Source organism: Homo sapiens, chromosome 9 (genome assembly GCF_000001405.40).
Source record: "Homo sapiens chromosome 9, GRCh38.p14 Primary Assembly".
Lineage (NCBI taxonomy): Eukaryota > Metazoa > Chordata > Mammalia > Primates > Hominidae > Homo > Homo sapiens.
The window spans coordinates 97,466,526-97,478,950 of NC_000009.12; the positions used below are offsets into that span (position 1 = coordinate 97,466,526).

Sequence of the window (12,425 nt, forward strand, 5' to 3'; positions counted from 1 at the left end):
AAACTGGACACAGCCCAAATGTTCACCAACAGGTGGATCATAAAAACAAATTATAGTTTATTCATGTAGTAGAACACTGTTAACAATACAAAGGAATTAACTACTGATATAAATAGTTTCATGGACAAACCTCACAGATTTTGTGCTGAGCAAAAGAAGCCAGGCACAAGAGAGTAATGTATAATTTCATGTAAATGATGTCTAAGAGCAGGTAAAATTCATCTGCAGTGATAGAAATCAGATCAGTGGTTGCCTGGGACAGGAGGTGGAGGGGGGCTAATTGCAAAGGGCAAAAGGAGACTTTTTGGGGTGGTGTAAATGGTCTATATGTTGATTATGGTGATGATTATATGGATGTATACATTGATCAAAGCCCATCAAACTGTATTGTAAACAGGTATCTTTTATTCAGTGTAAATTATACTTGGATAAAGTTTGAAACCTGGAAGAAGCTAAGGACCACAATGGTCACTGGACCAAAGGAGAACACAGGGCTTGGGCACTAGTCCTGAGTCTGCCTGTATTTGGGTGTGTGCCTTTGGTCAAGTCCCTCCATTCCTCTGGGTCTCTAGTTGATAGGAGATAACTATCCCTAAACGTTCCTAGATAAACTTCTGTTTCCTGGCCATTTCACTCCCCCGGCCCTTAGGAAGTTCAACAAAAGCTAAGCTATTTTGAGGCACAGAGATTTCTTATGAAGAGAAGAATCATACGTAAATCCTAATGACACATTAACAGTGTAACAATATTTACAATAAATAATGCAGCTATTCCACAAGGATATCTCCCAGTCTGAAGTCTATAGGGCAGTCACTTTCTTTCCTCCCTCCCTCCTTCTACTTTGGGAATTCAGGCTCTCGTGTCAGATAGAACTGAGTCTCAGCTTTGCCATTTCTAGCTGTGTGGCCTTAGGAAAGTTATTTAACTTCCCTGATTGCTTATCTGTAAATTCAAACACTCCCATCGTGTTGTATATACCTGATACACTTTTTCACTTTTTACTGGAGCCAAGAACAAAACATACAAGTCCTTCTTCTCAAGAAGCTTACATTCTAGTGAGAAGAGAGAGATGACAAGCATACAGTAAACACACAAAACAATTTTAGTACAATGAAGGAAATAACCAATAAAGGAAATAACTATGATAGAAAATAACTCTGAAGCAAGAGATAGGCAGAGTGATGTGATCTCATTTAGATGCTTCAGAAATCATTCTGGGACTGTTGTGGGGGAATGGATTGTATTATAGTAGGGCACAGAAGGAAAGTAATACTGGTTAGGTGGCTGTTGTAATAGCCAGCTACCTTGTAACCTGGATTAGTGAAGATGGAGGTAGTGGAAGAGATTCAGGATATATTTGGAGGTAGAACTGACAGGACACTGACCTGTTGGAAGTGGATGGTAAGCAAAAGAGAAGATTCAAGATAAGCTACTGGGTTTGGGGCTTGAGCAATTGACTAGATATTGGTGCCATTTGTTGAAATTGGGAAGTCAGAGAGAAAAACCATTGTGGAGAACAATTGAGAATTTCATAGGACCTGCTAGGTTTGAGAATAGCTATCAGATGTCACATGGATGAATTTGGAGCTCAGGGAGCAGTTAGGACTGGAGATGTGTCAGGTTGGGAGGCATCAGCATATAGGTGCTATGTGAAATCACAGGACAAGATGAGATCCCCTAGAGAGAGAATACACGTAGAGAGGAGGAGGGGCCTGGGCCCAGGTCCTGAAACCCTTCAGTATTTACATGGAGGCATAAGGGGAGCAGAAAAGCCTGTAAAGATGGCCAAAGAAGAAAAACCAAGAGAGTGGTGTCACAGAAGCCAGAAAAAGAAAGCGTCTCATAAAGAAGGGAGTGACCAGCCTCGTCATTGCTGCTGAGAATTATGGGCTGGATGTGAAGAATAAAAAAGGTAGCTCGGTATTTTGTGCAGTAGCAAGCTCTTGGGACAGCGGTGATTGTAGCAATCCGGGCCTGAACTTGTTCCCCACATCCCCTTGAAGCTGACAGAGATGATTTCTCCCTTTATTTGGAGAAACCCCAGCTACTTAGCACCAGTCTTGCTTCGCTTGAATTGAACTTTGTCTGGTGGTAAGTACTGATTCCTTCCTTGCTTTCCCTGTCAGATCCTTGGTGAGTAGGAGAAACAGGAGATGTGGTCACCCGCTGAGGCTGGTGCCAGTTTGGCCTGACCCAGGCCCACATCCCAGGGGAGTCTGCTGGGTGATAGGTAGTGCTGGGAGACCTTTGGCCACTTGATGGTGCCAGAGAACCAGGAATGGACTGGGGCCTTATGCCAGATTATGTGACTACTGGCCCTGATCCCAGGACATTAGAGAGAGAGAGACTACTGAGCCCTCACAGAGCAAAGGACACAGAGCAGAGTGTGGTGAGAGTCACACTGGCCAATGCATGGACAAGTGTTTTATAAACTGCAGTTGCCATACAAACATGTATGATTAAAAACAAGAAAAGAAGCTACAAACAGTTCAGAAACACTTTCTTTTGAGGCTTTGGAGCAGTTATTCTTTAATCTGTTCTTGTGCTAAGAATACATTCTGAATTTCCCAGGAGTCATGATTTCACATGCTATGTCCTATTGTCAGACCACGTTACCTCCATTTTGGGCCTGGGAAGAACAGAATCTAAGTTGTAGGTGGTGATAGCTATTAAAGGAAATGAAAGCTGCCTGACTCCTGAGGCCTATGAGAAGCAAAAGCAGGTGCTAATTTAGGATTGGAGAAATAGACTTGTGCACTTAAATGGCCAGCTGCCTGACATGCAGCCCTACCAGCGATCTAGGCCTAAGTCAGTGTTGAGTCAGATGTGGATTCTAAGAGATGGTCTTTCTGATACAAGGTAGACAGGCCCCACAGGCCCGCTTATCACATGGCCAAGGAAAGGAGTTAGTGGTGTCTTCTGCTTTTTTCCCTTAGATTCTCTGCTGGGAAGGGTTTTTGTTTCGTGTGTTTAGTACCATAATCTAGGTACTAAGAAGCTGGCCTGTGGACTTTATTTTCAGGGAGGCAGTGAAAGGAACCTACCTCATGTTACTTGGTATTAAGGCCAAGACTTTGCCCTGGTGTTTGTTGTTTTGTTTGCTTTGTTTCTTTCAATAACCATCATCTCCTTTAATTAGAGATGCATATTAGGTTTTCAACATTTCCCTTAGATTCTTAGTTATTCTAAACCATAGCTTAATGTTTCTAGATTTTTATTTTTCTCAAAAAAAGGCTTTGTGTTTATATAATCCTTTTAAACTGAAGATTCTATAAATATTCTTAAAAATAATATCCAGGCTCTTAACAGTCTGTGCTAATGGTGAGGAAAAGTTGTTCAGGTTTCTGCAAACACAGACCTCTGTTCAGCAGACTTAGGGCCTTTTGCTGAGCTGAAAGAAGACCTAACCCAGCTTCACACCCTTGAAAAAAATAGGTACGCCTGTTTTTTAGTTTAGAATTCCATGTTGTTCAGCAGTGATACCATTGTTGTCATTGATGAAGCATCTCGGTCCCTGGAAGCACAGTAGCTGAGAATAGCCATCACAAATGCTGCTTTGGGGATTTAGAATCTGATAAATACCACAAGGATGATGCCTGCCATAGAAACAAATACTGCTGTCCAGGGAACGGGTGGAAATGTGTAACTCAAAAAAGAATAAGCTGATATAGGCATTATGATATTAATGAAAGCACCAAAGGGGAGGGGAGCAGAGTTGGCAGAACCAGGTAGATAGGCTGCTGAAAGACTGGCGACAGCAAGGTGGCAGGGCTGAGCAGTCTTGTTCTTCCCATTGAAGGGGTAGGGTGAGGTAGAAGACTGGGACCTGGAACTAGGACCCCTGGTTTCCTTGGTCTCAGCTCCAGCCTTTCTCTTCTGTGGTAAGTCAGGGGCACCTCCCCAGCTTTTTCCAGGTGCCACTCTGCCACTCAGCTTGCTGATCATGGAATAAGATTGAGCCAATTAAGTGTATCAAATGAATTTTTTAAAGAGAGGATAAAGAACTAAACATTCTGTGTTTTTAATCATTAGGTATGCTATGTTGACTATGGTTTTAGTGAAAATGTTGAAAAAAGCAAAGCATACAAATTAAACCCGAAGTTTTGTTCACTCTCATTTCAAGCTACAAAATGTAAGCTTGCAGGTAAGAGGAACTTTTTAAAAAACTCTCTCCATTTCAATAGGCTATTACCACTGTACATTTGGATAGTTGAATCCTAAAATGGACTAAGTATCTCATGTTATAATGTGTTACTTCTTGAAAGGTTTAAATTCATGTCGAATGTATTCTTTATAAGATACCATTATAAAAATGTTATGTTTTTATATTTTGTGTTATATATAAAAACGTATTATAATTTCTTATAAAAATTTCAGCCATCTTAAAGGGATTTTTCTTGTTCTAACTGCCCTAGTAACAATTGATAGAGGCCCTGTTTCATGACATTTGATGAGTTTCAATATGTTGTTCAGCATGTTGTGAGGTGACTCTCAGCCCCTTTCCCACTGAGATGTACTGTGGTGATGCTGTGAGGGTGTGACTGACACACCTTCATGTGCCCAAGCATGGGTTTGATCACAGGTCACATGCAGTTTTTGGCATAGTAGATGTATCATTGTTCTTTTCCTTCCTCCTAAAGGAAACAGAGGAATCCACCTGTATGAGAGTGCCATGTAGGGATAAACTTAAAGGACAGATGACACATTGGTCATGTCCGTGATAAGGAAAGGCATTGAAATATGCACCATGCCGGGGGGGACTTGAGCCAAATGCAGAAAATGATCATAATTATTTCATGAAAATTAGTACTCTGAAGAAATGCCTCCTTCCCAGTGGGATGAATTCTTATGTCACAGGAGCTGGGTTTGACTCTTATCTGTGAGATTAACCTGAAGAAATTTTAAAAACTTGTTAACAACTTTTAGAAGTTGGTGTTGGAAAGAACGTATCAAGGGCATAGGACAGGATTTAGGGTGTTGAAATTAAATGTTTGAGAAAAGTTCAAAGTTATATGTCTGGAGAACAGAACAAGAAGAAGAAAAAACTCGGAGGAGTCTGAATTTTAGCTTGTGGATTTAAAGTAGAAAAATATGGAAATAGGCATTATAGTACCATTGGGGGAATATGAGCTAGTTTTAATTCATTTAATACATTAACTTAGAATTGTCATATATGTTATGTGGAACTATAATTTTCTAAGAATTTAAAGAGTAGTTGGACTACAACAAAATTCATCTAATACCTGTGTTAAACACTACTTAATCTGTCTTTGATAAATCAGAAGGTTCTTTGGTATCCTAAGGGTCAATAAAAAAGAAACAATAGTGGTTGTCTCAATTTCCAATAAATGTGTGTTCATTTTATAAGAAAAATAATTGTATATATGTAGGAAGTGCATTACAAACATATGACTGGAAGACATAATTGATGGCTTCTCATATGTGTTAGTTTTTTGGTTTTAAATATGTGTTCATGTATAAAGTGAAGACTGTTTCTCCCAAGGTAGAAATTCTGATTGATTATCCGTTTCTCTGCTTGTTTTAAGATTGCCTGCCTTAGTGTATCATTCAAAAGGGCGTTTACATTATATTTTTTTAAAACCTAAGAGGTAAGATAAAGATTGTAAAACAAAGCTTTCATATAAAATTTAATAATTTTGCAGTAGGCTTATAATTTTAATAATGGTCAAAACAGACACAATCCATCTATTCATCTTGAAATGATTTTTCTAATTAAGTAGAAATTAAAAGATTCAATATTTTTCAGGCTTGGAAGTCCTAAGCGATGACCCTGATCTAGTGAAGGTGGTTGAATCTTTAACTTGTGGAAAGATCTTTGCAGTGGAAATACTTGACAAAGCTGACATTCCACTTGTTGTTCTGTACGATACCTCAGGAGAAGATGATATCAATATCAATGCCACCTGCTTGAAGGCTATATGTGACAAGTCACTAGAGGTTCACCTGCAGGTACCACTGTGATCACTGTTGTTGCTTGTTACACATTTTGTATGAGAGAAAAATCACCAGAATATTATACATTTTAGGCTAACAATTGATAGAGACAGATTACATTTACATTGAGGGGAAAAAAGGAGGGAGTGGGGCTAGAAGGGAAAAAAGTACCAAAATGTTCAGAGTAATTGTTTCTTAGGAACTGGATTTTTTATTTTCCATTTCCTGCAATGAGCATCTATTGATTTTATATGAGATTATTTTGTAAAGATAATAAGGAAAAATAACACAAAAGAAGGGAAAATTGGGTCCATGAAGATGTTGATTATTAGCTTTAACTTTTTTTTAATGTGAAGAACATAAATGCCCCAAAAGAAGGAAGCCTTTAAATAAATTATAGAATATCTACCCAAGAGAATAGGATGAGATGTTAAAAATGGTCATTTTAAAGATTTCATAGAAACAATGGGAAAACTTCTGTTTTAATAAGTAGAACCACTGTGAATGTCTTTATTATGGTTTGACTAAAAATGGGTAAAATTGAATATTTACTTTGATTATGGTTTTTTAAAATTACTCAAATTCATATGACCTCTGGACACAGGTTAGAAAGTAGACTGATGATGGATTTGATTTTGTGAGAGTTTATTTTCACTTCTGTTAATGTTACAAAACATGGTTTATGTAATTCTTTTTCTAAATAAATGGGGAGAAAATAAACCAACATTAAAGATAGTCTTGGCCTTTCAGACAATGGAGTATGGGAATGTATGCACAATGTCTATTTTGTGCTTGGCATAAATGATATTAGACATTTCTTTTAAAAAGAAAAGAATCCAAATTAGTTTTGTACATTTAAGCTATAAATTGCATTTCATCTTACATATACTCTAACTTAAAGATTTTAAAATGCAAAGACTTGTTATGGGATGTTTAGGTAGATACCCTTTAGGTAGGTAAGAGCTGCATTCTGCTCTCAAGCATTCACGAGGTATCCTTTGTCTGTTATAGGTTGACGCCATGTACACAAATGTCAAAGTAACTAATATTTGCTCTGATGGGACACTCTACTGCCAGGTGCCTTGTAAGGGTCTGAACAAGCTCAGTGACCTTCTACGTAAGATAGAGGACTACTTCCATTGCAAGGTATAGCAGAACCTCTTCTACCTCTAAAATTAGCCCTAAAATTACAAGCAAGAGTAATTTACTAAATTGCATAAGTATGAACAATTTTTTTTGTATGAACGATTTTTTAGTAGTCTGAAATGGAATCTCTAGAATAGTAGGTAAAGAGCTCCAGACTTCAGAGCTTTAAAAGAAAAACACAACACTAGTTTCTGCAATGTAAAACGAAGATAGCAATAGTGTGTACCCTATAGGATTGTCCTGAGGACACTGTGCCTGGCATGTAGTCAGTGCACAGCAATCGGTAGATGTGTTATTTATAACATGCAGTTGATGATGCCACAGTGCAGCTGCCTGTGACTGTCTGCTAGAGCCAGCTGACTCTTCTGCCTTAGGCAAGGAGAAACCTTGGAATTTAGGAGGATAATAAAACTTTCCTCCTTAGTTCTGCCTTCATCTTCCTCCTTACCCATCACTCCTTGAGCTCTTTATGGACCCTGAGAACCTGCCACCTGATAAATTTGGTTCTGCAGTTCAAATTGTATTAATAAGCTCCTTATCCTTTAATTCTACTATTTTTTTCTGAATCGAGCTCTGTAGAGGTTTTATTGTGCTTTAAGTTCCTAAAATGGTTTCCTTACCTCCATTAGGACATTATGGTCATATTTCAGAATATGCTGTGGTTTCCAAATCACTAAACCCTACTGCCACTTCTGCCCTTACCCCCTCGTCCCTGGAAGTGAACTCTTCCCTCTAACCCACAAAGCACATCAGGCACCTCAGGGCATTCATATTCAGGTTTATATTTTAGCTATTTGGGTACTTATTTGCCTTTCTAGACCGTATGCTTCTTGAGGGCATAGACTGTGCCTTACCAATTTTCTGCATCCCTTACAGTATCTAATCTAGTGTCTTATGTAGAATAGGTATGCCAAAATATGTGCCGAATCAGCTTAAACCCGCATTCAAAGTACAGTCTGGAATTGAGACATTCCTATAGCTTTATCTTGTTCTGTGTTACAGAGGTTTAATTTTAAGTCTATCTTTGAAAAATCTGAAACCCCCAGCTTGGCTGACTCTAGTGACTCATTTGTATGGATGTTGTCCTTATAACCTTTGGTGGTGAAAAGGACTCGATATTTCCTACTGCACTCGTAACCTAAGTGAGACATTGCCTTTGGGGAGAGTAGAAACACACACCCTGAACAGAAAGAGACCATGGACAGGTACCCCCAACTTCAAACTACAGCAGAAGAGGAAGATGAGGAGACTTCATCTTTACAGCTGTGATTTGTTGGTATTTAACTGGCACTGACATACATATTTGTGTTGATAACATTTCTTTGTTTTGGAATTAAAATGTTATCTTTGCATCTAAATGTGAAGAGATGAAAATGAAAAGAATAGGCCCACAGACAGCTCTCGCAACCTCCTCACTGTTCTTCTTTTTGTCAGATTCAACACCTCTCTTCATGTGTAACTGATGGAGCCAGTGCCTAAGTGAATCATAATGATCTTATGCTAATGTTTTTAGACATGTTAACAATGCTGATTTATGAGCCATGTGCATGTAGGGAGAGTAAACTACTGATGTCAACAAATGTATGAGTAACAAGACAAAAGTTTTATAACCCTGTGTGTTTGCTGCATCCATTGCTGGAAGTCTGACTACATGTCGGTTAAGTCTGCCAGTGCCACAGCGATCTGTTTTTCTAATGGTGTAGCAATATGCTCTTTGCTAAGAGTAATAAGAGTATCATGCATTTCTGTTTTGCAGCACATGACCTCTGAGTGCTTTGTTTCATTACCCTTCTGTGGGAAAATCTGCCTCTTCCATTGCAAAGGAAAATGGTTACGAGTAGAGGTAAAAATCAGTCACTTGGCTTTTTAATCTTAACTTATTGTGAAATATTTCAAATATACACATAGGTTTTTTTAAAAAATTGAATAAATACTCACAGACTCATCATCAGTTTATGAAATAAAACATGACCAGTATGGTTGAAATTTCCTGGTTGAAGTTATGGTCGAAGAAAGTTTACATCTCCTTTCTTCTGCCTCCACCCCAGTTTCATTTGTGTTTTTCTCATTCTTACTTGTTTATATTCTTACTGTATTTGTACTTGTAGATACACACTTTTACTATATATTTTTAATATTTAAATAGTGGAAATATATTAATGAATATGTGTATATAATATAAAGGCAAATGAATAAGTGTAACTAAATGAATAAATATTTTCAAACTTTATGTAAGTTGTAAGAGGTATTGGTCATGCTTTTTCATTCATTATGTTTGTGAGATTCATTCATGTTGATGTGTGCAGCTGTAGTTCATCTATTTTTACTGCTGTATGATTGAACACTATTAATATGCCAACGTTATCACTCCATCTTCCTGATGATGGATATTTAGATTGTTCCTAATTTTTTGAACCTTCCTGTCTGTGTCTTCCAGGGTACATACATAGGAATGGAGTTTCTAGGTATTGGGAATGCATATCTTCAATTTTACTAGATCTTGCTTAATTGCTCTCCAAAGTTGCCTTCCATTGAGAGTATATCCCTTTAAGAACTGTGGCTTCATGGGGCAGTGTCAGATCCTCCCTGCCTCCTGCCTGGATCTAAGGCCATGTCTCCTGCCCAAGACAATTTTGGCTTTAAAGTTCACATACTCTTCTATTTCTAGTCACTAACAATTGTCTTATTTTCTTGCAAGCTCAGTTACGAACTTGAAGGGAGTTTTGTTGTGGTTTATCTTGCGTTTCTATATGTTTTTAAAAAGGCAAGTTTTGGATTTTTGTGATTGCTTTCCCTCCCTCTCTTCATCTAGTTTGAGGTGGCACACACCTATAATCCCAGCACTTTGGGAGGCCAAGGCGGGAGGATCACTTGATGTCAGGAGTTTGAGACCAGCCTGGTCACAATAGTGACATACCATCTCTACAAAACCAAAAAGAAAAAAAAAAAAAACTAAACAAAAAAAAATTAAGAAAAAAACATTGGCTTGATTTTTTTTTTCTTTTTTTTCTTTGATACAGAGGTTCTTAACCTAGATGCAAGGACCTCAACTTTCAGGGGGGTCCCTCAACCCTCCTGGAATTGTATGCAAATTGTGTGTGTGCTTGTATTATATATTTTGGGGGAAAAGTATGCATAATTTTGTAAGATTCTCAAATCAACCCCCAAAAGGTAAGAATCGTTGCTTTACTGAATTTTTTAAATGCTGCACAGCAACATTTTGATAACTTAATTGAATTGATTTTTTTCATTATTTAAATAAAACTTGGTCATGTCTACTTGAATGAGAGTAGCAGTTTTGAAGTAATTATTGCTATTAATGTGACTGTATGTCAGAAGGCTGAAATCTCGGGTCATATGACCAAGGGGTATGTGCCTAGGTATAAACTTCAAAAACATGACTCGTTGAAAAGGTCATGGCATTCTTCAGATCTTAAAGTTCTGTGTGATTTAATTTAAAATATATAAGTGTATGCATACTAACTTTTTCAACTTTTTATTTTGAAATAATTTTCCTTTTTTACAAGTTGCAAAAATAGCACAAAGAGGTCTCATTGGCCTTTTACCTTCTCAAATGTTAACATCTATATAACCATTGCATAATTATCAAAGCCAGGAAATTGACATTAATACAAAACCATTAGTTAATCCACAGAACATACATTTCCCAAATTGTCCCACAAAGTACTTTTTCTGCTCCAGCATACAATCTGGATCCCACATTGTCTTTAGTTGTCATGTCTTCTTAGTATACTCCACCCTGGCAGTTACTCAGCCTTTCTTTGCTATTCCTGACTTTTTGAAGAATAGCATTATGTTGTAAAGTATCTCACAATTTGAGTATCTTCATGTTTAAATTTAGGTTATGCATTTTTGGCAGAAAGAAGCCTTCTTAGTGTATGTCCAAATATTTTAGATAAATATCTAGTATTATTTTTGTTATTATCAAATTGTATATTGTCTACCTTCAAGGTAGACAAAAGGTTTGAGTACTCATTCTCTTAGTGATGTATGGAAAGTCAGAGAAGGAAAAATAATTAGTGAAAAGCAGATCCTATGTTTAATCATGTATTTATTCTTGATAGTTATACAAATAATTGCAAAGGTAATTATTGTTTTGACCCCAAAACAATAGTTTTTCCCTTATATTTTAATATTTTGGAGAACAGACTGTATCTTATAATCAGCAATATATAATAATGTATCAAATCATTTTATAATAAATCACGTCCTAGAATTGGAGAAATAATAAATATTACTATACTTATTTTACTGTTTATTGTCAGTTTGCTGATTATTACTGATTAACTAGATGTTGAAAGCAATTCTACTCTAAAACAATGTTTAGTAGGCTGGGCGCGGTGGCTCACACCTGTAATCGTAGCACTTGGGAGGCCAAGGTGGGTGGATCTTTTGAGGTCAGGAGTTTGAGACCAGCCTGGCCAACATGGTGAAACCCCATCTCTACTAAAAAATACAAAAAAATTAGCTGGTTGTGGTGGTGGGCACCTGTAATCCCAGCTACTTGGGAGGCTGAGGCAGGAGAATCACTTGAACCTGGGAGGCGGAGGTTGCAGCGAGCTGAGATTGCACCACTGCACTCCAGCCTGGGTGACAGATCAAGACTCTGTCTCAAAATAATAATAATAATAATATTTAGTAAATAAATACATTTTAAATTAGGGGAAAATTTTAACACTGATAGTCTGTTCCTTTTAATATGCATTCAGGATTGTACAAAATGTAATTGCACAGAAGCATTTTGGTCTTTTGAATATGCTAATAAATGAGCCAACACTTATCTCATTTCAGATCACAAATGTTCACAGCAGCCGGGCTCTTGATGTTCAGTTCCTGGACTCTGGCACTGTGACATCTGTAAAAGTGTCAGAGCTCAGGGAAATTCCACCTCGGTTTCTACAAGAAATGATTGCAATACCACCTCAGGTACTATGTTACCAGCCTGGGAGATTTGCTGGAACAGATTTGGATGTGTTCATAATCTTATTGTAAGATGCCTTCTCAGTTTTGATCTCATTAATTTTTAAGAAAATTGGAAATTGTCCAAATGTGGTTGTCTGCTGGTTTTCAGAAGTAAAACATTGCTGACTTAGACAAGAAGACCAGTCATATTTACATACTGTTGTTTGAGAAATGTTTGTTTTCAAGAGCATCCAGTCATTAAGCTGTGTTGTCCAGTTACAGGTTCCATTTTGATAATTAGATGCCAGTACTGACTTATGTACAGTTCCAGAATATTGTGTATAAATGTTTATTTTTAGAGTTTTTAGTTTATTTAGGTAACCATTTTCTTTGGAAATCTG

At 37.4% G+C, this 12,425-nt stretch overlaps 1 protein-coding gene across 6 annotated transcripts in view, besides 1 other annotated feature; it reads left to right on the forward strand.

Moving 5' to 3' along the window:
• The window catches only part of TDRD7 (tudor domain containing 7), an 84,030-nt gene that overhangs the window by 54,430 nt on the left and 17,175 nt on the right, over nt 1–12,425 (forward strand). For 4 of the 6 annotated variants that reach the window (NM_014290.3, NM_001302884.2, XM_047423111.1 and 1 more), the window contains 5 exons: nt 4,033–4,144; nt 5,768–5,970; nt 6,967–7,101; nt 8,858–8,944; nt 11,914–12,048. In NM_014290.3, the coding sequence (NP_055105.2) occupies nt 4,033–4,144; nt 5,768–5,970; nt 6,967–7,101; nt 8,858–8,944; nt 11,914–12,048 (672 nt within the window). Of the gene's footprint in view, nt 1–4,032; nt 4,145–5,767; nt 5,971–6,966; nt 7,102–8,857; nt 8,945–11,913; nt 12,111–12,425 lie in introns of all 6 variants that reach the window. The other 2 variants (XM_047423113.1, XM_047423115.1) reach the window with 2 other exon arrangements.
• Nucleotides 2,100–2,159: an enhancer, noted in NCBI's record as "active region_28663". NCBI's record gives its function as "activates an Ori minimal core promoter by ATAC-STARR-seq in GM12878 lymphoblastoid cells {active_cell/tissue: GM12878}" and the evidence as "EXISTENCE:reporter gene assay evidence [ECO:0000049][PMID:35858748]".